General features: G+C 39.6%; 1 protein-coding gene and 1 pseudogene across 5 annotated transcripts in view; one reads left to right on the top strand and one right to left on the bottom strand.

Moving 5' to 3' along the window:
- Positions 1-27405, bottom strand: part of ZNF257 (zinc finger protein 257) — a 38997-nt gene extending 11592 nt beyond the window's left edge. For 2 of the 5 annotated variants that reach the window (NM_001316997.2, NM_033468.4), the window contains exons 1-3: positions 27254-27405; positions 6954-7080; positions 6325-6420 (exon numbers count right to left, since the gene is read on the bottom strand). Coding sequence is in view for 3 of the 5 variants with exons in the window: in NM_033468.4 (NP_258429.2) it covers positions 6325-6420; positions 6954-7080; positions 27254-27256 (226 nt within the window). In the remaining 2 variants the exon portion in view is untranslated. Of the gene's footprint in view, positions 1-6324; positions 6421-6953; positions 7081-19260; positions 19382-27253 lie in introns of all 5 variants that reach the window. The other 3 variants (NM_001316996.2, XM_047438121.1, NM_001316998.2) reach the window with 3 other exon arrangements.
- On the top strand, positions 13491-14061 carry BNIP3P29 (BCL2 interacting protein 3 pseudogene 29; annotated as a pseudogene).

The raw sequence follows: 27405 nt of genomic DNA, 5'->3' as shown, positions 1-27405 counted from the left end.
TATAAAACTAAATATATAAAATTCTTCAACATATTCTTGCTCAGGGGCCAAAAATTTAATTTTTCAAAGGTGTCAATACAACCTACAGTTGTGAACAAATTTAATACAATCATTATAACAATCTCAATAGCACAGTTTTTAACAGAAATAATATGGTTTGGCTGTGTCCCCACCCAAATCTCATCTTGAATTGTAGCTCCCACAATTCCCATGTGTCATGAGAGAGACAGGGAGAGGTAATTAAATCATGAAAGTGGGTCTTTCCTGTGCTGTTCTTGTGATAGTGAATAAGTTCCAGGAGATCTGATGGGTTTATAGAGGGGAGTTCCTTTGCTAACGCCCTCTTGTCTTCCACCATGTAAGACATGACTTGCTCCTCCTTTGCCTTGTGCCATGATTGTGAAGCCTCCCCAGCCATGTGGAAGTGTGTGCCAATTAAACCTCTTTCTTTATAAATTACCCAGTCTTGGGTATGTTCTTATTAGTAGCATGAGAACAGACCAACCAATACAAGAAATCTTGTGTAAAAGTTTAAACCTTGATTACAACTATAGCCAGAAACCCATGAAAAAGAACAAGGAGGCATTATACTTTCTAATTTCAAAACATACTAGAAGCTAAAATAAAAACGATGTGGTACTGAAACAAAGACACATAAACAGATGAAAGAACAGAATACGAGTGAAGAAATGAACCCCCCTTTAAAAGATCAAATGATCTTCCACAAAGTTGCCATGAGCACACAATAGAGAAAAGATAATCTCTTCAAAAATTAATGTTGAAAACTGGATACCAGCCAGGTGCGGTGGTGGCTCACGCCTGTAATCCCAGCATTTTGGGAGGCCAAGGCAGGTAGATCACCTGAGGTCAGGAGTTTGAGACCAGCCTGACCAACATGGAGAAACCCCGTCTCTACTAAAAATACAAAATTAGCAGGGCGTGGTGGCACATGCCTGTAATCCCAGCTACTAGAGAGGCTGAGGCAGGAGAATCACTTGAACCCGGGAGGTGGAGGCTGCAGTGAGCAGAGATTGCACCATTGCACTCCAGCCTGGGCAACAAGAGCAAAACTCCGTCTCAAAAAAAAAAAAAAAAAGAAAGAAAGAAAACTGGGTGTCAACAGTGATAAAGCTGGATTATTTCCTTGAACCATATATGAAAAATATTTTAAATAAAATACCCAGACATAAAAAATAATTAACCAATTTTTTAGAAATATAGAAGAAAAACATGACGCTTGTCTTAGCAACACTTTTTTAGATACAACATTAAATGCATCAGCAACAAAGAAAATAACAGAAAAATTTAACTGCACTATCCTTCAAAATTTTTGCACTCAAATAAAATATTCAATAGAGTGACAATGCCTCATAAAAAATGTGTGAAAATATTTGCAAATCACATGATAGGAGTTAATATTCAGAATATATAAACAAGTCTTAAAACTAAACAATACAGTTGAATAAGTTGATTTAGAAATGGTCAAATAATTGAACAAAATTCTTATCAAAAATATACACAAATAAGAAAATGCATTTAAAAGAAAATGCAAAATAACTATTTTGTAGAGAATTGCATAAAAATCACAAAAAACAAAATCACCTCACACTCATTGGAATGGCCACTATAATTTTTTTTTTTTTTTTTTTTTTAGTTGGAGTCTCCCTCTGTTGCCCAGGCTGGAGTGCAGTGGCGAGATCTCAGTTCACTGCAACCTTCATTTCCCGGGTACAAGCAATTCTCCTGCTTCAGCCTCCTGAGTAGCTGGGACTACAGGCGCCCGCCACCACGCCCAGCTAATTTTTTTTTTTTTAGTAGAGACGGGGTTTCACCATATTGGCCAGTCCGGTCTCAAACTCCTGCCCTTGTGATCCGCCCACCTTGGCCTCCCAAAGTGCTAGGATTACAAGCATGAGCCACCGTGCCTGGCCTAGAATGGCCACTATAATTTTTTAAAAAAACACCAAATCTGTTGATGATGCAGTGAAAATGAAACCCATGTCGATTGTTGGTGAAAATCAGGAGCGTAGCCATTATTTTAAAATGTTATAAATGTACCTCAAATAATCAAAAATAAAATTACCATAAAATACAGCAATCTCATTTATGAATCTATATCTATAATATGCAACACAGGACCTGGAAGACGTATTTGAACAGTCATGTTTATTGTATTAGTATTCACAAAAGTCAAAAGGCTGAAGCAACCCAAATGTCTTAATTTGGAAACACATTGAAAAATGTAATACCTAAATACAATGAAATATTATTCAGCCTCATAAAATCTTGTCACATTTGAAGATAAACTGAGAATATTATGTCACCTGAAATAAGCCAGTAACAAAATAATGAATACTATATAATTCCACTAATATGAGATATTTTAAGTCATCACACTCATAAAAACACAAAGAGAAACGGTGTTTGTTGAGGGCTGGAGAGAGGGTAAAATGGGTTGTTGTTATTTAATGGGTATTGAGTTTTAGTTTTACAAGATGGAAAATTTCTGGAAGTCTCTTGTATAACAATGTGAATGTACTTAACATGCCTGAAATGTATACCATTTTTTTGAAACAGGATCTTACTCTGTCACCCAAGCTGGATTGCAGTGGCACAACTATGGCTCACTGCAGCCTCAAACTCCCAGGCTCAAGTAATCCTCCCCACTCAATCTCCCAAATAGCTAGGACCACAGGTGCATACCCCCATGCCTGGCTATTAAAACATTTTTTGTGTGTGGAGAGAGGGGGACTTTATATGCTGCCCAGGCTGGTCTCAACATTTTGGGCTCAAGCAATCCTTCTGTCTTGGTCTCCCAAAATCCTGGTATTATAGATGTGAGCCACCACCATGCCTAGGCCTGAAATGTACACTTAAACAGATTAAAGATGGTAAATTTTAGGACAGGTGCGGTGGCTCATACCTATAATCCCAGCATATTGGGAGGCCAAGGCAGGCGGATCATGAGGTCAGGTGATCGAGACCATCCTGGCTAACACGGTGAAACCCTGACTCTACTAAAAATACCAAAAATTAGCCGGGCATGGTGGCGGGCGCCTGTAGTCCCAGCTACTCGGGAGGCTGAGGCAGGAGAATGGCGTGAACCCGGGAGGCGGAGGTTGCAGTGAGCTGAAATCATGCCACTGCACTCCAGCCTGGGTGACAGAGCGAGACTCCGTCTCAAAAAACAAAAGAAACCTACATTGAAAAAAACACACTAATATGGAACTGCAAAACAACAATAAGTAAAATGTTTACTCATATAATGTGGTATGCAACACTGATGTACCATTAAAAAAAATTGTCTAGATAACTACAGTATTTGACTGTAACTGTGTACTCATGGAAGGCAGGTATTTCGAATCATTGACAGGCACTGTGTGGCAGTAAAATTTTAGAGATAATGCAGAATAATCATAAACAGAAGATTTTAATGAGAAACAATAAATAAGCATTTAAAATAAACTAGAGATAATTTTTATGTTTTAATTGTATGCTATTCTTTCACAAAATGAAACTGCTGTAATCCAACTTTAGAAGCAAGAAATAGCCTTACATTGCTAAAATATATATGTAATTAATATATGTATTTATTATTTATTTTGTATATATAATTTAATATATATATAGCAGAATATGGTTGGAGTCTATTATATAAAACAAATACTTAATGAATAAATTATGTTATTGTTTAGATATAGGCTAGAGAAAATGGGTGAAAATATATAATTCCTTTTTGCCTGTAGCAAACTTAAATTTGTAAGTAACTATATTAGTAAATATGGAATGCCTACTAATTACCTAATTTACTTCAAACATAACATGTAAATTCTAGCTTATTGCTCCTAAATGTCTGAATCTAAAATTACAGGCACATTTGAAATAGAAATTAGAAATTAAAAACTTATAGAAAGGGTGACATTAATAAGATAGAGAAATAAAAGGTGCCCTATTTGTCTATTCCTCCACAGCAAGAAAATTTGTTGGCCATCCCTGACAAAAATACCTTTATGAGAGTACCAGGCCTCATGGCTCAAACCTGTAATGACAGCTACATGGTATATTAAGGTTGGAGAATTGCTTCAGGCCAAGATTTCAAGACCAGCCTGGGTTATGTAGCAAGACCCCATCTCCAAAATAAATGCCTTTAAGAGATCTTTAAAGTCCAGGGATGAAGTTGTGAAATTCTGCTAAAGCCAAAGATTGAGGGGTGTTCTCTTCAGAAAGCAGGCTCTCATTTTGGTGGCAAACTACAGGACCCCTGGTCTTGGCTACAGGACAGGAAATGGCCAACGCTACTTGGTCCCACTGAGAATTCTGAATTTACTCTGTAATTATTTCAAAATCCTTTCAGCCGCAGTCTGGGAGAGGTTCTGTCCTTTCACAGGCCTGGAGGAAGACACCCGTTTACAGCCATGCAGGCAGGCCTGCAGACCCTGGCTTTTAATGTGGTGCCTGAAGCAGTTCAAAGTCTCAGTTCCAGCTTCCTGGGCCACAGTTTATGGCCAGTTCTCTTTACCTAGAAACCAACACAGTGTGACCCGAGGAAATCCTCTGTGGTACTCAGCAAAAGCCATACTCATTTACATCCCGATTTAAGGTACATTATATACAGACCCTACTGCAAAAACCTGCCCTAGTGTCTGCCCTACAGAGCAAAGTCTTGAAGGATATCCAATCTGTCCAAAAATAATATGGGAATTACAACTATCCAAGCCCTTTGTAACAAGCCAACTAAAGGTGGACCCTAGTGCAGACCCAGCAATCTTGTGACCAAGCTACAACCCCTCTCCATCACAAACCCAGAGGGAATCCCATCACCCTGGGGGCCCAATGGAAGAAGATCTTTACCTCCTGAAACTAGTTTATAGAAACTTGAAGAGGTGTTTGCTCCTTCAAATTCACAGACACCAAATGCAAAATTATATTGTGCACCTTGTCAATGCTTCTATTTTAACATAGCACTGAAGTATATGGCAGAATAATTAGTCAAAACAGTTTTCAAAAAGCCATTGAAACTGAAGACAAATAAGTAAAAATTTGCTGTTTGTAGATTACATCTTTTTTATAGAAAACCATAAGCAGCGCATTAAAACCTAAGTTAATAAATAAACTCCGTAAATTAGCAAAATATAAAATTAAAATACAAGTTATGGTTCCATACACTTAAAACAAACTATCTGGTAAAATAGACAAAAAAAAATCTTATTTACAATAGCATTAAAATAATAAATTTCTGGCCGGGCGCGGTGCTCACGCCTGTAAACCCAACACTTTGGGGGGCTGACAAGGGCGGATCATCTGAGGTCAGGAGTTCGAGACCAGCCTGGCCAACATGGTGAAACCCCATGTCTACTAAAAATACAAAAATTAGCCAGGCATGGTGGCGAGTGCCTGTAATCCCTGCTACTTGAAAGGCTGAGGCAAGAGAATCGCTTGAACCCGGGAGGAGGAGTTTACGGTGAGCTGAGACTGCACCATTGCACTTCAGTCTGGGCAAGAAGAGTGAACCTCCATCTCAAAAAATAAATAAATAAATAAATAAATTTCTGAGAACAAATTTGACCAAGGAGATAAAAACTCTTTACACTGAAAGATATAAGATAGCTAGGAAAAGAAATAGAGAAGACAAAAATAAATTTGAAAATGTTTCATGTCTATGAGTTGAAAGAATATAGATTCAATAAATATAGGTTCAATAAGCTCCCTGTAAAAATTCCAGTGGCAAGTTTTTTTCACAGTAACGGAAAATACAAGGCTAAAGATTACATGAAACTACAATAAGCTTTGAATAGCCAAAGCAATCTTCAGGAAAAAAAAAGCAGAATGACATCATATTTTATAATTCCAAACTATCTTTCAAAAATATACTAAAGAAAAAGGATGAAATGTGCAGAAAAATTAAAAAATTCAATGGAACAGAAACCACTACTCTATTCATGTCAGGCACAATGCAAAAAGAGAACTTAAGAAATAGCTTAACATAGAATTTTTGAAAATTATGCAGATATTTGTATGCCCCTAAAAACAATGAAAAAGCAGTCAGACTATGCAGTCTCTTATATGCCATGAGGACTTTGGCTCTCACTGTAAACTTGAAGGAAAATGACTGAAAGGAAAGTAGAATCTTTAGAGAATTTAAAAGCATAAGACAGAAATGTCCCTATGTGAGAGCAAAGAAAAAAAAAATGCAAACTCAGGCTTCCAGAAACTATATCCCTTGGAATACAGCTTCCGAAATGACATTTTAAGGACTTGCTTTCTCCTTGACCTGTGGATCTCTCATCTGTTTCACCTGTTGTACTGGCTTTCACTCTCACCTACCTGGGGGTTTGGCTACCATCTCATGTCTCTTCATATTACAGGGCTCTTTTCCTTGCTCCAGACAGGTGATCAGGTCTGGCTTAGAGACAGCAATACCTGTTTTTTAAAAATAAGTAACACGCATCTTGCTCATATTCTCCAATTACCAACTTAGTAATGTGCTCAATAAAGAGAATGTAATATAATATTCTAATACATTTATGCCAAAATACTAATTTATAACAGAAATTTCTAAATATTTAGAAAATACTGTATATTTGTAGATTCTTAATTCACTACCCAGTACTACTGAATAAAAAAATTGGTGGTAGCAATTAGATTTTAAGGTGTGGGCAACAATATTTTACACCACTAAATTTCTGGAATTACCACTATTCTAGAGTGAGGGATACAGATCAGCTCAGCAATGTGGAAAGTTCAGTTCAAGGTGAAACCTCTTGAAGAAATTTTTTTTTCTACACTGACAAATCCTTATGATTTTCTTGAAAACAGGGATATGAAACTCATTTATGCAAAACATAATTATCAAAAATTACCAAATTACCAAAAAACATTCTACAAAAAAAAAAATAAATAAAAAATAAAGCCTTTGGAGTATATTAGGAATTGAGTACTGAAGTTATCCTCACCCAGGAAGACCAGGTTTCTGTAGTTCTCTAACATCACATCCCTATATAAATTCTGCTGTGCAGTGTCCAGGCAATGCCACTCCTCCAGAGAGAATTCTACAGTCACATCCCTAATTGTCAGTGGTCCCTGAAAAACACACAAACACAGACACACATATATTTACCAAGTGGTCAGGGACAGAATTTTTAATGTCACTCAAGGTGTAATTAAAGAGCAGAGAGAACAGGTTCTGCCTTATTGGAGTGACCAAAATTATCCAAGAAAATATTTTTTTAACACAGAAATATTCTCTAATGTATTCTCTGACTCTAAAAAACACACCCCCATACACATTTACCAAGCAGCCAGGGCAGAATTTTTAATGTCTCAAGGTCAAATGAGAGAGTAGAGAACTGGTTCTGACTTATAGAAAGTCTGTTTCTGAATTTTTTTTGTTTTGTTTTGAGTTTCTATATTTCTAACAAGTTCACCAGTAATGCCAATGTTTTTGGCCCAAGAAGAATATTTTGTCAAACATCCACTAAGTAAAAGAGCCTGTGTTTTTCCTAGTATTGCTGGACTGTAAAAAGAAAAAGATGACAGTTTTTACTTGCCAAAGACAGATATATGCAAATAAAACCTAAGAAAGAGGGGCAGCTACCAGATAAAATGTGATGGTTTATGCACATCCGCTGCATAAAAATAATTTATAATGAAAAGAAAAATAACTAGCTTTCTAGTAAAAAAATTTGTAGACCTCCTTAACCAAGTGAATCATTAATGTTACTTGCACTAGGACAAATTTTTATGATGTGCTGATGCACAAAAGAAGGACACAGCATCACCACTGTGACATTTTCTCCCAGAAGTAAATCGTAGTCCGAATTCAACCATAAAGAACCATCAGTTTTATACCAAGTTCAAGACACAGATATCTCTCATGTTCTGTAATTTTTAATAGTGATTTTAAGTAGTCTTTCTTTAGCACCCTAGAGAGCAAGTATTTCCTCATTTTTTTTCAGGACTTTCTGGGTAATAAATGCCATCCTCCTTAAATAAACACTTCCTTAATCCTGCTCTCTATAGAGTTAATGAAGAACACAGATGGAACCTCAACATTACAAGTTTTCCATCTTTTTTAAGAACCCCTTTCTTCTTCCAATAGGAATCTTGAGTATTCACACCTTCCCAGACACAAAGGGAACATTTTTAATACAGTAGATTATAAATCCATGAAGAAAATTCTGCGTGGCATAGAAGGAGCCATGATGTAGAAGGCTCTGGTATATGGGAAAAAACATATTTTTCAGAGACCCTTGACTATTACAAGAATTTTTTAAAGTAGTTAAAACAAACTCATTAGGGAGGAAAAACAAGTAGAGAAGTAAAGGTTTGCACGTAAAAATGCATGGCATTTCAGAAGGCAGAGTGGACACAGCTCTTGATATGAGACATGTTTAGTTGAAAAAAAAAAGCCATTTTTTCCTCCTTCTCCTCTGGAATTCTTGCTCAGATGAAATTTTCTGCACAAATTACACCTGCATCTCGAGAATATGCCTTTAAAGGTGTCAGCACCACCCATTTACCTGCTACCACCACACCCACTGGCAGGACCAAGACCTGCAGAAACATTCCATCCATTTCTGTCCTTTATACTAGTAGAGATTCAGGAACAATGAGCTTCTCTATGAAAATAAAAATATAAGTTTCTTCTTTTCTGTCCTCAGATGCCCTCCTCTGCCACAGACACCAGCAATTTCTGCTACAGTAATGGTAATATGGGCCACACTGCCTTGTCTCTCCCAAACCCAAACAGAACATGCCCTGTGACCACCCTTTAGTGCAAAGGTTTCTACCTTAACTCTCATGAATGCCTTGAACCCTTCATTGTTGATTCTGGCCTCACATTGGAATTATACGAGGTACTTAACCAAAACAACATATATGTTTCCACCTAAAACAATAAACAAAACCTGTAGGAAAAGCTGAAGTAAGGATTTTTCTGCAAATTGGCCATGTAATCCTAATTAGAGGTCTGGGCTTATAACCACTTAGCTAAGCATTTAATCTCAAGCTTTAATGAGCTTACAAATCACTTAGTAATTTTGGGCCCACTCTATGTAATATGATGCTGCAGGTTTGAAAAGGGTCCAAAATGAATGTTTTAAACAAGTCCCCTGTCAATGTTGATGTTGCTCCCCTGGGCTCATGATCAGCATTAGTTAGAGAAAGCAGGCACAGCACAGAGTCCCTTATACTCAGCACTCTTGTCACAACACAAATACTTCTAGGGCAAATGAAGACAACCACTCTCCATCCTAAAGTATCATATTCTTTGCTGGCTCTGTAGAGTATACAGAGGAAACAGAAAACAGCCATGTCTGAATAAGTCTGCGTTTAAATAACATGTACAAGTGTACTGATGGAATGTTTATTAAACATTGTGCTCTATGTGCTCAAGAGGATGTTACGGAGCACTGTGCTGGGAATAACACATTATGTGACATAATCTTCATAACACCCTTGGGAATTGGTACTAAGTGTTTAATAATTCCCAGGATTTAGATAAAGGGCACAGCATTTTAATTTTTATAGTTTCTCTGTCATTAATTTTTTATAAAATGTATAGAATAAAGCTAAATAGATAGATGAGAGGGATAAAGGAAAAATTTAATGTAGTTTAGAGGAATTTTTATTGTGTTTATATTTAATTTTTTGTGACTTGTGGAGCAACTACTGATTTGTAAGATTAGAAAACAAGTTGCTAAATGGAATGTCTCTGCAAGCACTGGTTTTAATAAAAAATTTAAAAAGACCCTAAAATACATACTTTATTATTCCCATTTATCTGCTTTTGGATTTCAGAAAACTGTGAGCACCACTTCTAGAAAGACAGCAGGCTTCACCAACCAAAACTCTGATCTTATTAAATCAATTATCTGAGGCAAGACTCCAGGGTGGGGACAGGACTAAATAAAGCCCCCAAGTAGGAACTGAACAGAACTGGAGCAGGGAGTGGAGCCTATGTAGAATTTGTTCTCTGTGCCACTGGGGTACTTCCAGTTCTGTTTCCTAAGCTTACCTAAGAAAAACTTAAATCCCAGAGTTCATGTAACTTTAATCTTTTTTAGCTACTGCCCTGTCAATTTCCTAATATATACTAATAATCCATTTAAACAAATATCTTAAGGATATCTAGAATAATTTTATTAGAAGATAAATAAGTATTCTTAGCAAAATAAAAGAAATAAAAATAATAACAATTCTTCTGTCCATAAACATCCCTTCAGGTGATGACATCAGAAGTCACAACAATATTGTTTTTTTGTTTTTAAGACAGAGTCTTGCCCTGATGTCCAGGCTGGAATGCAATCACTCAATCACTCAATCTTGGCTCACTGCAACCTCCGCCTCCTGGGTTCAGGCAATTCTCCTGCTTCAGCCTCCCAAGTAGCTGGGATTACAGGCGCCCACCACCACGCCCAGCTAATTTTTTATTTTTTTTAGTAGAGATGGGGTTTCACCATGTTGGCCAGGCTGGTCTCGAACTCCTGACCTCGTGATCCACCCACCTCGGCCTCCCAAAGTGCTGGGATTACAGGCGTAAGCCACCACGCCCGGCCTAATATTGTTTATTTTTTATTTGGGTTACTTACGGCCCAAATAAACCCCAAGTTTCTTTGCACAAATCTATTTATTATATCAACCATATGATGCTTAATTCATCGTTTATCCAGTTGCTAGTCTGGACTAAAAGTTCATGGATGGTAGGGACCATGACTGCTACATCTATTATTCTAATGGCCATATGAGATGGAAGCATTTAGTTTAACTGTTCGAATCTCCAGAACTACTTCTTTTCCTCCCAAGTACCAGCAATTGAAGAAACTGTCATCTGGGTACCAACCAAAGACACCTCTTGAATGAGGGAAGGATGACCCATTTCTCTTACACTGAGACAGAAGCAGAGTTAACCACTCGTCAGCCTGACAATTCTGCTCTGGAAATCCTCAAATGTCTCAAAGACACCTAGGTGATTCTGAGAGGATTCCCAGTGACCGTGTGCTGACGGCCCAATTGTAAGCCAGACAGAAGAGATTTAGGCTGATTCTAAATAGAAAATGGAACTGCCCTGGTAAAGCTCCAGAACCTGGATCACCTGTCCTGATTTGCTAGCTTTTGGGTAAGAGGAAGGACAAAAATGTTCTACTCCAGTATCACATTTTAGGAGTAGGTATAGTTGCAGTCATGGCTCTGGATACTTTGTAGCCTTGATCTCTCACTCCTAAGATGTTGCTATCAGATTCTGTTTACACCAGGATCCTCTCATGTAACTGCAGCAGGTCACTGGACAAGACTTGAAAAGCTCAAAGAGCCACACTATCAAAGGGGGGCTTTAAGATGTCTATGTTGACATCTCACAATGCAGAAATTCCTCCTGTTGGTTTTCATTACCTTCTTAATCTAAAACCTGGCCCTGTCTTGTGAATCTCAGGCAGAGATCAGCTCTTATGTGCAGATTCTTGGTCAGATCAAACTGGCTCTGCATTCTTGGGTGTTACAGCAAGTGGAGTACAATCAAAGAGAGATGTTCTCCTAGAGGCTGTTCTAGCACATCCTAAGTAATATGTCTGCCTAAAAAGAAAAACCCGAGGCAACACAGATATAAGTAGACAGTTTATTTGTTCCATCTTTGAGGACTGTAACCTGGGAGCAAAGATTCAAGTTGCCTGGAATCTACACTTTGATAATCAGCAGTTACAAGTGGATTTGTAAAGGCAAAAAAAAAAAAAAAAAAAGAGGGACAGAGAGTGGGATGGTACAAAAATGTTTGTTAGTAACAAACGATTTTGGGAGTGAGAGATCAAGGCAACAAAGTGTCTAGAGTCATAACCACAACTATACCTACCTTTCTTATTTATTTATAGAAATAACATTGACTATTGATTGGATATACATCAGTAAGGTTTACAGCTTAAGTTATAGTGTTCAGTGTCACATTATTAGTTAAATTGATGCTACTTGTGGCAATTGTGAATGGTTTCAGGAGATGAATACATAGCTCAAGCGGGGGGGAGACATAATTGTGTTTCTCATTTATTTTTTATTTTTTATTTTTTTTGAGATAGAGTCTCGCTCTGTCACCCAGGCTGGAGTGCAGTGGCGCGATCTCGGGTCACTGCAACCTTCGCCTCCCAGGTTCAAGCAATTCTCTGCCTCAGCATCCCAAGTAGCTGGGATTACAGGCGCCCACCACCATGCCCAGCTAATTTTTGTATTTTTAGCAGAGACAGGGTTTCACCATGTTGGCCAGGCTGGTCTTGAACTCCTGACCTCGTGATCCACCTGCCTCAGCCTCCCAAAGTGCTGGGATTACAGGTGTGAGCCACTGCACCCAACCTGAGCTCTCATTTTAATGTCTCTCTGTGTTTGACAACTAAAAGGACTTGTATTCCTCAGATAAACGTTTTTTTTTATTTTCCAAAACTTAAGACCTACATTCAGAATTTGGAGCTGCAGATTTAGGCTCTGGATGGGTGGAGTAGCAGCAGGTGTTACCTGCATATTTGTGGACATTTTAGCAAGAGGAGATACAAGAAAGTGGAGATTCTCATGTCTACGTGTCTATTCAGTGCGCACATATTACTCTGATTGGGTTTCTGAGCTCCATGTTCTGTGAATCAGTTTCAGGTCTGAAGATACAAGAGTCAACGAAAGAGGTAAAATGTTGATTGCTGCCCTGTGAAGTTTGTAGAAATCTGGTCTAGCTTCTCTAGAAGTGACTGTAGTGGCCTATAGATACCAAATAGGCAGATACACAATTCTTCCTGCATATTTAGGAGACAGCACATACTATGTAGCATAATTGTGAGGTGACTGGAAGCCTGAGAGGGAAAGTCCCCTCTAGAGTAAAGCTTGGCTGGCACCTTATGTGTTTATATCATGTCTGGTAATTCTAGACAGTGTCTGGAATATATAACGAAAAGAAAAACTTTCTACAGCCCCAGAGAAACACAATGATAGAACAGAAAGAAAACTGTTTTATTACACAATTAACCTAGAATGTGAAGTGCATCATGGTCAATCTGCTCAAAGACTGCAAAGACAGAAAGATGTTCATCATAATTAGTCCATAAGTAGAAAAATTTACAACACCATGCTATACATAATTCATTCTAAATTCACTTGATAATTGAAAAGGCCTTCCATATATGCTACATGGTTATATTCAATGCCAAAATAAACCTTATCACATCTTCATGACAAAAGGCAGTTTTGCCACTTAAGCCTGGTGCCTGCTGAAGGTAGGCTCTCACTCTTCTACAAAAATGGTTGATTAGGATGCTATCATTTTGGCTATTTACATTTTAAAATAATGGCTCTCTACTCCCTGAGACTGGGCTAGAGCACTCCTGCTTGCCCTCCCCTGGTCACCAGTGTCCTCTCTTGACTCCTACCATCTGCCACTGAGGCACAGCCCACAGCACAGGGCTCACAGCTGGCAGCTCACATCTTATGTGAACCCAAACTGCCACAGTAGCACTCCAGTGCCACATCAGAGAGTGAAGCCTGAGCTGCAGGAGGAGAGCCTGCAGGCCTCCTGGGTAGAACTGCACCTTCACAATAAAGGGAATGGAAGAAGTGTTTCAGCCTCAGTGCCAATTTATAATGGTGACATGAAAAAATACTGCTGGATTTGCAGTATGAGTCTCGGTAGAGATCACTCCAAGAGTCATCCCTGTGACAGCCCACCTCATTCAAAGACACCACGGGATACGCATAAGGCTTCTAAAACAGACACCCAAAGCATTTGAGAGAAAAACAGCTCTCAAATGAGCAAGATTTTATTGAGAGAAATAAAGAAGTTAAAAGCATCTTAAGAAAAACTCAAATTAGACATAAGATTTATCGAAATAGCCAGAAAATATTCCCCTGAAAAGAATTTCTAAGCATCCAGAGTGCACAGCTACTCTCAGCATGAGAAACATGAGCATTATAAAGAAAGTGTGCATATTTTCAGCAGAATTTCATAAGGTTTCTCTTTCATCTCTGTTGCTCTCTCATCTCCTAGCCATTGAATGGGGGATCTATGTTGAAATACATCTGACAACTTCCACCAGCACTTTTTGATGAAGAATTGGAATCCCTCTCTGTTCATATAGTAGAATATATTTGAGCTTGCAACATAGTTAACTAAAGAGCTATTACGGTTTTTGGATGGCCATGTCACCTGTGTTTGTCCTGTAATAGCAGCATTCCAAGTTAGTGAAATACAAGACACTAAAATTATGCTTACCTAGAGTTATCCCTATTAGATAAATAAGCATTTCAGACTAATATCTACTGTAACAATTTTGTAGTAAATTTTTTGAACATTAGATATAAATATCTAAGTATATATAATTTTAATGTACTAGTCATAATAAATGTAAAATTTTTTAAAAATGTCTGTAATCGCTGGGCACCATGGTTCATGCCTGTAATCCCAGCACTTTGGAAGGCCGAGGTGGGTGGATCACCTGAGGTCGGGAGTTCGAGACCAGCCTGACCAACATGGTGAAATCCCATCTCTACTAAAAATACAAAAATTCACTGTGCATGGTGGTGGGTGCTTGTAATCCCAGCTACTTGAAAGGCTGAGGCAGGAGAATCGCTTGAACCTGGGAAGCAGAGGTTGTGGTGAGCTGAGATCATGCCATTGCACTCCAGCCTGGGCAACAAGAGTGAAACTCCATTGAAAAAACAAAACAAAACAAAAAAAGTCTGTTATCATAATTCAGTTAAAACACTTTATATTTCAAAAGTATAAATAACAATATTAAAAGGCCCATCTGATTCATTGAAAGTAAATTTTGTGGCCTTATATTCATACTATTGTAGAAAATACTTTTTTTTTTTTTTGAGGCGGAGTCTCGTTCTTTCGCCCAGGCTGGAGTGCAATGGCGTGGTCTGGGCTCACCGCAACCTCTGCTTCCTGGGTTCAAGCGATTCTCCTGCCTCAGCCTCCGGAACAGCTGGGACTATAGGCGCGTGCCACCACACCCGTCTAATTTTTGTATTTTTAGTAGAAACGGGGTTTCGCCATGTTGGCCAGGCTGGTCTCCAACTCCTGACCTCGTGATCTGCCCACCTCGGCCTCCCAAAGTGCTGGAATTACAGGTGTGAGCCACCATGCCTGGCTGAAAATAGTTTTTAAAGTATATAAACGCAGGTTGCCTACAAACACTACACATAACTATGCTAATTGTTCTGAAGTAATAAACGGAAACCAAAGTACAACTAAAGACTTCACTGTTCAGTTTATATACTGAACTGCTTTCTTTTGCAGTGTGAGTACTTCAGCCTGAAAATATTAGATAATCACCTTGGACAATCAGTTTTCTGTTAAAAAAAACTACTCAGTATCTTTTAGTCTTTATCATTCTGTATGGCTAAATTTAATCCTATTTTTGTGCTCCACTTTTGCGTGTTTTTAAAATAAGCTTTGATATAAACAAAACTGTCGACTTTAAAAGACTAAAAATGAAAGGAAAAAACTTTGCCAAAGCAAAAACAAAGCAATGAATCTGAAGTCCTAGCTAATGACAACCTTGAGTAAAAAATAATGACAAAAGGTTTACTTAGCTGTTAATATAATTTATGTATATTTCAAAATAACAAAGATAAATGTACATATCATCTTAAATGCTTTAAGATGCTAAGTGCTTATTTCAAGGTAGAAGAATAAAGCTTTTCATTTCTAATTTATATTTTTTTCTACAACAGCCAGGTTTTCTGGACGTGTTCTTGAATTCTTGGACATCTCAATTTCAGCAGACATTGGATTCAGGCATCTAAGGGGCAACCTTGGGCACACTTTGTGCACTTGAAATAATGCTTATGGGGAAAAAAGCAGAAGAGAGAAATGTGTTATAAAAATTCCATGGGTACACATGAATAAAGCAAGTTCTTAGAGACCTATGAAGAGACTTTAATTCTGACACAACAGTAGGAGACTACAACACCCCACAGAAACTATTAGACAGATCCTTGAGACAGAAAATAAACAAAGATAACAGTATGTAAACTTGACACTTGACCAAATAGTCCTAATGGATATCTACAGAACTCTATGTAAAAACAACATAATATACATTATTCTAATCACCATGTGAAACAAACTCTAACATTTACCACACAATTAGAAATAAAACAATACTCAGCAAATACAAAAATCCCTACATTATACCAACCACACATGGAGACAACAGATTGTTGAAAATATAATTCAACTACAAAGAAAACCACTTGAAAACATACAATTATATGAAAATTAAACAACCCGCATTTAAATGACTTTTGGGCAAATAATGAAATTAAGACAGAAATCAAGAAGTTGTTTGAAACAACTGAGAATAAAGATACAGCATACCAGAATTGCTGCAACACAGCTAAGGCAGTGGTAAGAAGGAAATTTATAACACTAAATGCTCACATCGAAATGTTAGAAAGATCTTAATTTAGTGACCTAATATCACAAAATAAAGTATGAGAAGCAAGAGCAAACCAATTCTAAGCTAGCAGAATGCAAAAAATAACCAAAAGCAGCTCTGAACTGAAGGAGACTTAGACATGTAAAACTATACAAAAGATCAAGAAATCCAGGAGTTAAATCTTTGAAAAAAAATTGATAAGATATACTACTGGCTAGATTAATGAAGAAACAAGAGCCAAATAAACACAATTAGAAATGACAAAGGGACATTATTACTGACCCCACAAAAATACAAATAACTACTGAAGTCTACTATGCACATCTCTATGCACACAAACAAGAAATCTAATAGTAATAAATAAAGTCCTGGACAAATACATCCTGCCAAGACTGAACACAAATATATCCTGCCAAGACTCCACACAAAAGAAAACGAAGCCCTGAATAGACAAATAACAAGCTCCAAAATTGGATTAGTAATATATAGCCTACCATCCAAAAAGTTCTGAGGACCAGAGAAATTTGCAGCTGAAATCTTTAAGATGAACAAAGAGCTAGTACCATTTCCGCTAAAAGTATTCCAAAAAAAATGAGAAGAAAATCTTCCCCAACTCATTATATTAGAACAGAATCATTGTGATACTAAAACCCAGCAAAGATAAAATGGAAAAAGAAAACTTCAGGTAAGCCGGGTGCAGTGGCTGGCCAGGAGTGGAGGCTCACACCTGTAATAGCTCTTTGGAGGCCAAGGCGGGCAGCTCACCTGAGGTCGGGAGTTCAAGACCAGCCTGACCAACATGGAGAAACCCCATCTCTACTAAAAATACAAAATTATCCGGGTGTGGTGGCGCATGCCTGTAATCCCAGCTACTTGAAAGGCTGAGGCAGGAGAATTGCTTGAACCCAGGAGGTGGAGGTTGTGGTAAGCCGAGATTGCACCATTGTACTCCAGCCTGGGCAACAAGGAGGAAACTCTGTCTCAAAAAAAAAAAAAAAGAAAGAAAGAAAACTTCAGGCCAATATCCTTCACAAACATTGATGTAAAAATCCTTAGCAAAGCTGGGCGCAGTGGCTCACACCTGTAATCCCAGCACTTTGGGAGGCCGAGGCAGGTAGATCACAAGGTCAAGAGTTCAAGACCAGCCTGGTCAATTTGGTGAAACCCCGTCTCTACGAAAAATACAAAAAAAATTCGCCACTGCACTCCAGACTGGGCAACAGAGCGAGACTCCGTCTCAAAAAAAAAAAAAAAAAAAAGCAGGCGCAGTGGTGGGTGCCTGCAATCCTAGCTACTCAGGAGGCTGAGTCAGGAGAATCACTTGAACCCAGGAGGCAGAGGTTGCAGTGAGGCAACACCATGCCACTGCACTCTAGCCTGGGCAGCAGAGCAAGTCTCTGTCTCAAAAAAAAAAAAAAAATCCTCAGCAAAATACTGTGTAATCAAATCCAACAGCCAACAGCATATCAAAAAGCTAATCCACTATAATCAAGTAGGCTTTATCTCTGGGATGTAAGATTGGTTCATCATAAACAAATCAATGTGATTTATTACATAAACATAATGAAAGACAAAAACTGCAAGATTATCTCAATAGATGCAACAAAAAAAAAAAGCTTTCAACAAAATTTAACATCGTTTATGTTAAAAGCCCTCAACCAATTAGGCATTGAAGGTACATACTTCAAAATAATGAATTATTTATGACAGACCCACAGCCAACATACTGAATGGAATGGACACAAGCTGGAAGCATTTCTCTTTAAAAAATGGCACAAGACAAGAATGTCTTCTCTCACCACTCCTATTCAACATAGATTGGAAGTCCTAGCCACAGCAATCAGGTGAGAAAAAAAAAAAAGGCATCCAAATGGGAAGAGAGGTTGTCAAACGATCTTTGTGTGCAGACAACATGATTCTGTATCTAGAAAAGACTATAGTCGTGACAGAAAAGCTCTTTAAACTGACAAACAACTGCAGAAAAGTTTCAGGATACAAAATAAATGTACAAAAACCAGTAGCACCCATGTACATCAACAATATCTGAGCTAAAAGCCAAATCAAAAACAAAATCTCATTCACAACTGCCACAGAAAAATAATTATGTAGAAATACAGCTAACCAGAGGGGTGAAAGATCTCTATGACAAAAATAAAAAACAAAACAAAACAAAAAAACATTGCTTAAATAAGTCAGAGATGAAAAACAAATGGAAAATCATTTTATGCTCATGGATAGAAAAGATCAATATCATTAAAATGGGCATACTGCCCAAAGAAATCTACAGATCTAATACTATTCCTATCAAACTACCAAAAACATTCTTAACAGAACCAAAAGAATCCATTTTAAAATTCATATGGAACAAAAAAAAAAGAGCCCAAATAGCCAAGGCAATCCTACACAAAAGGAACAGAGCTGGAGGCCTTATATTACCAAACTTTAAACCACAGGGCTACAGTAAAAAAAGCAGCATGGTACTGGTACAAAAACAGGCTCAGAGACCAAAACAACAGATTAAAGAGCCCCAAAATTTATTCTGCACACCTACAACCATCTGATCTTTGACAAACTGACAAGAGGAATTTGAGAAAAATTCCTTATTTAATAAATTTTGCTGGAATAACTAGCTAGCACTATGTAGAAGACTGAAACTAGACCCCTTTCTTACACCATATATAAAAATCAACTCAAGATTGATTAGGCCAGGCACTGTGGCTCACGCCTATAATCCCAACCAAAGCCAAGGCGGGCAGATTGGCTGAGGTCAGGAGTTCGAGACCAGCCTGGCCAATATGGTGAAACTCCATCTCTACTAAAAATACAAAAATTAGCCGGGCGTGGTGGTGGGCACCTGTAATCCCAGCTACTCAGGAGGCTGAGGCAGGAGAATTGCTTGAACCTGGGAGGCGGAGGTTGCAGAGAGCCGAGATCATCCCACTGCACTCCAGTCTGACGACAGAGCAAGACTCCATCTCGGAAAAAAAAAAAAAAAAGAAAAAGTAGGCAAAAGACATCAACAGATACTTTTCAAAACAGACATACATGTGGTTAACAAGGATATAAAAAAATGCTCATCACTAATCATTAGAGAAATGCAAACAAAAACCACAATGAGGCATCATCTCACACAAATCTGAATGGATATTATACGAAAGTTAAAAAAAATCACAGATGCTGATAAGGTTGTAAAAGGAATGCTTATACACTGCTGGTGGGAGTGTGAATTAGTTCAACCATTGTGAAAAGCAATGTAGTGATGTCTCATGTAAGTAAAAACAAATTTCCATTTGACCTAGCAACCTCTTAATTGGGTACATACCCAAAGAAATATAAATTATTCCATCATGACACATGCACATGCATGTTCATTGCAGCACTATTCACAATGGCAAAGACATGGAATCAACCTAAATGCCTATCCATGGTAGACTGGATAAAGAAAATATGGTATGGGCAAGTATGGTGACTCATGCCTCTAATCCAACACTTTGGGAGGCCAAAGCTGGTGGATTGCCAGAGCTCAGGAGTTTGACAGCAGCCTGAGCAATATGGCAAAACCTCATGTCTACAAAAAATAGAAAAAGAAAAAAATTAGTGGGTGTGGTGGCATGTGACTATAGTCCCAGCTACTTGGGGGGCTGAGGTAGGAGGATTGCTTAAGCTCAGGAGATTGAGGCTTCATTGAACCTAGATCACACCACTCCACTTCAGCCTGGGTGAAAGAGTAAGACCCTTTCTTCAAATATAAATAAAATAAAATAAAAGATTTAATAAAAACAAAATATGGTACATAAGCATCATGGAATACTACGTGGCCATTAAAAAAAAAAAAAAAAGAAAAGAAACAAAATCATGTCCTTTGTAGCAACGTGGATGGAGCTAGAGACCAGTATTCTTAGAAAACTAATGTAGAGACAGTAATCCCAGCACTTTGGGAGGCCGAGGTGGGTGGATCACCTCAGGTCAGGAGTTCGAGACCAGCCTGGCCAACATGGTGAAACCCCGTCCCTCCAAAAATACAAAAATTAGCTGGTGTGGTGGCAGGCGCATGTAATCCCAGAGTCTCAAAAAATAATAATAAATAAATACATGTTACCATTTATAAGTAAGAGCTAAATGATAAGAATGCATAGACACAAAGAGAACAATAGATACTGAGGGCAAGTTGATGGTGGATGATGGGAGGACAAAAAAGATCAGAAAAAATACCTGTTTGGTGCAAAGTTTAGTATCTCAGTGACAATATAATCTGCACACCAAACCCCCATGACACAATTTTACCTATATAACAAACCTGCATGTGTACTCAGGAACAAAAAATAAAAGTTAAAAGGAAAAAAATCCATGAGTTAGTTTGAGAGAGTGCAATGTAGGTGATAGGACTGGTTTGTGCTACAGATAGTGGCCCAGGTGTGACTCTAATTTATTTCTGGGTTCATGCAGGCAGATGAGATTACGAACAGGTGGTCCAGAACCCTAGGTTGGTGGAGAAAACAGGTTGCTGCTGCAGATTCAGTGTCTAGGGGTGAGGATATGCCAGGAGACTTGTAGACACTTGTGGGTTTTTGGCAAAAAAAAACATTAGGATAAAAATGCTGTGGTGAAATTCCTGAGGGTGGTGTCTAGCCCTGGGAGTGGTGTAGACACCTCAATGTCTAGTGGGTGTCTTTGTGACTGGGTAGAAATCCTGTGCTGACAGCTGTGGAAAAAGGGAATCTGCTATCCGAGCTTCTTTCCTTTAAGTTTTCAGTCCTCTCTCACCCTGGGAGGAGACCTAGAATCACAAAACAATGGGCACTATGACAGACAGAAAAGCAGAGCCTCCCAGAGTTTCATTTCAGGCCAGGCCTCTGTGGTATCTTTCTTCTGGCACCAAATCTGTAGAGTTTGCTGAATACCAAGATTCTCCAACATCAACTCATTGTCTAAAATTTGAATTCTGACACCACCCATTCAGCACAGACCCTGATTCAGGGCTCAGTACCACAGTATTCTCTTTACTGCAGATGTCAGGAACAAACCCAATGAACCCATCTATGCTCCTGAGCTACTGTTTAAAAATCAAGGACTCCCATAACCTCCCTCAAGTTCAATGATTTGATAGAGCCACTAACAAGCAAAACAACATAGTTATGTTGACCAGTTAATCATAAAAGATACAACCCAGAAAAAGCAAAATGGAATAAATGTATAGGACAAAAAAAAAATAGGTGGGGAAAGATGAAGCACATAGGTAATCCAGGTAAATAGTTGTGATTAATAAAATTCTCCATCCTTTGTGTGCTCCAGGAACAGTTCATGGAAAGAAACACCCTTTCCATTATAACTTAGATGGGGCTCTTTTTTTTGCCCATCACATAGCCAGACACAGACTCTGCACATTTTCTTCTTTTTCTCATATAAAAATCAGCTGAATTTGGCTAGGCGCGGTGGCTTATGCCTGTAATCCCAGCACTTTGGGAGGCCGAGGTGGGTGGATCACCTGAGGTCAGGAGTTCAAGACCAGCCTGGCCAACATGGTGAAACCCCCGTCTCTACAAAAATACAAAAAATTTAGCCAGACATGATGGCTGGTGCCTGTAATCCCAGCTATTCAGGAGGCTGAGGCAGGAGAATCGCTTGAACCCAGGAAGCAGAGGTTGCAGTGAGCTGAGATCACACCATTGCACTCCAGCCTGGGCGACACAGTGAGACTCCATCTCAAAAGATCTCAAATCTAGTTATTTCATCCTCAATTTCCCATTTCCCTCACACTTTCTTTTTAATCTGTTTGCTCCTCCTTATGAAAGTCAGTCCCTGTCAGCCTAAGCTTTGCAGTCCTTAAAGATATTATTGTTAGTGCTTCCTCCTGTTGCAATACTCCTGTGGAATTTTTTTTAAACATAAATCTAACTTTGCTTATATTTTACAAAGTCTAGAAACTATCTCAGAACAATAACAACTTCATCTTCAGTAAGACCTTCTGAGACCCCTTCTATTTTAACCTTAACTGCATCTGCCTGTGGATCCCCGGCTTTCCAGGGCTCTGTAGCTTCTCTCAGGATAAAGGCTTCTTCCATGGCTGGGACATCTGCAGGGGCGGCTCCCCAGAAAGAATTAGCTGGGCCTTTAATAACCTTTTTTGCAGGCTCAATATTAGCCTTAGCTTGGAGTCACTGGGCTCAAGTTTTAATTTCTATGACAGAGTTACTCACTTGGTTTTTGAAACTAAGTGTTTAAAAAATCTAGCAAAATTATCAAACATAGTACTCATATAAGGAAAAAAAATTAAGGTGCTTATATTTCATACCCAATAAGAAAAGTTAAAGTATTCCTTTCAGAGAATAAATGTATTATTGTATTAGTTTCATTAAAAATCATGTTGTAAATAATTAGTAATATGTGAACACTTCTAGGAGGTAACAAGTTTAATCTCATAAAATTTAACATTAAACTCAGAAATCAAAATAACAGAATATAGAACAGAGATATTCACTATCACAAGTTTTCCCTGCAAAAAAAGAAACTGATGCTTTTATGAATCCATGTAACTCATCAATTATCTACCATATTTTCTTGTGGAAATGTATTCATTTTCTACAGCCAAAATACAGAGATTTTTTTCTATTCTTTTCCTTGGTAGCATTCTAAAAGCTAAGCCTTGGAATTGCGTTTGAAACCACCCAGCCATAATAAAACACACTTGAAAAAATTTCTAAATTCGGCCGGGCGCGGTGGCTTACACCTGTAATCCCAGCATTTTGGGAGGCCGAGGTGGGCGGATCACGAGGTCAGGAGATTGAGACCATCCTGGCTAACATGGTGAAACCCCGTCTCTACTAAAAATACAAAAAAAAATTAGCCGGACATGGTAGCGGGTGCCTGTAGTCCCAGCTACTCGGGAGGCCGAGGCAGGAGAAGGGTGTGAACCTGGGAGGCGGAGCTTGCAGTGAGCCAAGATTGTGCCACTGCACTCCAGCCTGGGTGAGAGGGAGACTCCGTCTCAAAAAAAAAAAAAAAAATTTCTAAATTCACTCTGGAAAAGAAATAGGTAAATGAGGGCTAGGTATGGTGGCTCATGCCTGTAATCCCAGACCTTTGAGATGCTGAGGCAGGCGGATTACTTGAGGTCAGGAGTTCCAGACCAGCCTGGACAACATGGTGAAAACCCATCTCTACTAAAAATACAAAAATTAGCCAGCATAGTGGCGGGCTTTCACGGAGTTTCACCGTGTTGCCCAGGTTAGTCTCAAACTCCTGAGTTCAGGTGATCCACCCACCTCGGCCTCCCAAAGTGCTAAGATTACAGGCACGAGACAGTGCTCCCCCGTCCCTTTGTAAATATTTTCTTACCTTTAAAGCCCTACTAATAAAATGCAACTTATACTTAAAAAATCGGAGGTCAAGATAAGTGAAAACAATTCTTTTCTTTTTTTTTTTTTTTTTGAGACGGAGTCTCGCTCTGTCGCCCAGGCTGGAGTGCAGTGGTGCGATCTCGGCTCACTGCAAGCTCCGCCTCCCGGGTTCACGCCATTCTCCTGCCTCAGCCTCCCGAGTAGCTGGGACTACAGGCGCCTGCTACATCGCCCGGCTAATTTTTTTGTATTTTTTAGTAGAGACGGGGTTTCACCGTGGTCTCGATCTCCTGACCTAATGATCCTCCCGCCTTGGCCTCCCAAAGTGCTGGGATTACAGGCGTGAGCCACCGCGCCCGGCCGAAAACAATTCTTTTCAAGGTGACAAACCGAGGGAGTAGCAATGCTGATTAAGAAACAAATGTGTCTGACTCATATGTCAAGTAAGGCCATCTAATCGCTTGAGAGATTCTCCCACCCCATCCTGCTCTCATAAGTGCTCAATAACCACTCTCTCAGGAGAAACTGCACTATGCCCCACTGAGTGGCCCAGGATCATTTTATTTTGTAAGCTCTTATACCATCTAACTGGGTTCAGTTTTCTTTTTTTAAATTTTTGTCTTTTGAAATACTGTTTTTTGGCCAGGCACGGTGGCTCACGCCTGTAATTCCAGCACTTTGGGAGTCCGAGGTGAGTGGATCACCAGAGGTCAGGTGTTCAAGACCAGCCTGGCCAACATGGCGAAACCCTGTATCTACTAAAAACACAAAAATTAGCCAAACGTTGGGGTGGGCACCTTTAATCCCAGCTACTTGGGAGGCTGAGGCAGGAGAATCCTTGAACCTAGGTGGCATAGGTTGCAGTGAGCCAAGATGGTGTCACTGCACTCCAGCCTCGGCAACAGAGCAAGACTCTGTCTCAAAGAAACCAAAAAATACTATTTTTTCTTTCACAAATGTTTCACTATTTTTATTTCACTATTTCTCTGCCCACTTAGAGAATCCAGGGGGCAGAAATTATTTCTGTGTTTTTTACCAGCATCTGATTGGCTTAACAGCAATGTGTCTCTAAGAAATGGAAGCTGAGTTGGGTGAAGACAATCTTAATATCTTCGAAAAAGAAATACAACAGGAGACTCCTCTCAGCCCTGGGGCAGCCACCTTCTTTCTTAATAGGCTACACTCCATAACTCAGGTTGTGCTATAAGAAGAAAAAAAAAAAAAAAAAAAAGACCCAGTAGCTGATATCCACTAGATACTCTAGCAGATATAGCCATGGTGGGTATCTTGGTTTATCCCCAGGAAATACTGAAGCCCAAGACCAAGAACAAAACTAAAGGGTGGGTGAAGACATCTCACCTCACAGCTTCCAAAGGGAAACTTTGACCCAAAAACATTCTGATAAGATCTCTGTGCCTATACAAGATAAAAGCAAAGAGGAACAAAATTTTTTTTACACTACAGTGTCAGGGAATTATACTTTGCTTTCTTCCCATGGAAAGTATTTACAAACAGAAAACAAATCTTTTTAAAGTGCCATCCAATGCTTTGTCAAAAAATGATTAAAATATGGTATAAAAAATGTAAACTAAAGGATGAATAATTGATAATGTGAATTAGGGAAAACTGGCATTTGGGAATGTCAGAAGAAACTGAAAATTTAGTATTTTATTATTTACTATTTTTGCAATCCAGAGTTAGGCTGAAGAAATGATGAAGGGGGAGGAGGGTAAAACTTGAGACTCTGCTTGGGACACATGTAAAAAATTCAGCGGAAAAGGCCGGACGCGGCTCACTCCTGTAATCCCAGCACTTTGGGAGGCCAAGGCAGGCGGATCACCTGAGGTTAGGAGTTCGAGACCAGCCTAGCCCACATGAAACCTCATCTCTACTAAAAATACAATAACTAGCCAGGTGTGGTGGTGGGTGCCTGTAATCCCAGCTACTCCGGAGGATGAGACAGGAGAATAGCTTGAACCTGGGAGGCGGAGGTTGCAATGAGCAGAAATCTCGCCCCTGCACTCCAGCCTGGGTGACAGAGTGAAACTCCTTCTTAAAAAAAAAAAAAAAGAAAAACAAATCAGCGGAAAATTAGTCCCCTGTGGCTTGTGAAAATAATTAAGTGGCAGGCAACTAGACTGAGGTGGCTCTAGTCCCTGGATTTCTACTTTAAAGAAATTTAACTCAAATGCATGGTTTTTGTTTTGTTTTGTTTTTTTTGAGATGGAGTTTCACTCTTGTTGCCCAGGCTGGAGTGCAATGGCACAATCTCGGCTCACTGCAACCTCCACCTCCTGGGTTCAAGCGATTCTCCTGCCTCAGCCTCCGGAGTAGCTGGGATTACAGGCATGCACTACCACGCCCCGCTAATTTTGTATTGTTAGTAGAGGCGGAGTTTCTCCATGTTGGTAAGGCTGGTCTCGAACTCCCGACCTCAAGTGATCCGCCCGCCTGGGCCTCCCAAAGTGCTCGGATTACAAGCGTGAGCCACAGCGCCGGCCTCAAACGCATGTTTTTATAAATTACTAAATTGGGGGAAACAAAATTGAGGCGTAGCCAACTATACACTACCATTTAACCTCTGATTACATAACAAGGAAATGTCCACCTTGATAGTACAAATTAACAAACTATGTAACTGCATCTAACCAATTACTGAATTTGGTTTTCTTTATCTCATGTTATTAAAGTCTTCTCTTCAAGCCCCTGCTATGGACGACAAATGACAAACCATAGCTGGGTACTTTACAATTTTTTTTTTTTTTTTTTTTTTTTTTTTGAGACGGAGTCTCGCTCTGTCTTCAGGCTGGAGTGCAGTGGCGCCATCTCGGCTCACTGCAACCTCTGACTTCCTGGTTCAAGCGATTCTCCTGCCTCAGCCTCCTGAGTAGCTGGGATTATAGGCACATGCCACCACGCCCGCTAATTTTTGTATTTTTAGTAGAGGCGGGGTTTCACCATATTGGCCAGAATGGTCTCAATCTCCTGACCTCGTGATCCGCCTGCCTCGGCCTCCCAAAGTGCTGGGATTACAGGCGTGTGCCACCGCGCCCGGATTTTTGAATCACTCTTTAATTAAATTCTTTAATATTTTTGCGGTGACTTCTGTATATTTTTAATAAGAGAAAAGAGAGACTCAGAACCCCACAGACCAAAGCTCTTCCCATTCATGAACCCCGCACCCCGAGTCAGGATTCTCCCCTGACGACTCTCCTGTGGTCCCTGCACAACCTGGGGAGACTCGGCGCTGCGGGTGCAGAGCTGCCGAGAGAGGGATCCAGGCCAGGGCACAGTCACTGCGCAGGGAAGAGACAGGACGCCCGGGGTCCCGGCTGTCAGCGCAGCCGCCATCTTATGGCTGAGGGGGACCGAGGCCGAGCTGGCCAAGGAAAACTCGGGCGCAGATGGTAGGGCTGACTGCAAGGAGGCCTGAGTCCCGCCACAGCGACTTCCCACAGGTTCCAACCACCCCCTTCCCCTCTCCCAGGATGTCGGACCCAGCACTCTCACCATTTCTAGGCTTCCAGGAGGACCTGGCGTCTTAGCTGGGGATCTCCCAATACCTGCAGGTCACAGGGCCACAGAGGCTGGGCCCCTAGGAGAAGAGGACACAGACCAGGGAAGACGAGACCTGCAGCTCGGGCTAGAGCGAGAGACAAAGT

This window comes from Homo sapiens, chromosome 19, assembly GCF_000001405.40.
Source record: "Homo sapiens chromosome 19, GRCh38.p14 Primary Assembly".
Classification (NCBI taxonomy): domain Eukaryota; kingdom Metazoa; phylum Chordata; class Mammalia; order Primates; family Hominidae; genus Homo; species Homo sapiens.
The sequence above is the reverse complement of the archived record's forward strand: the minus strand, read 5'-3'. Positions and strand labels throughout refer to the sequence as shown.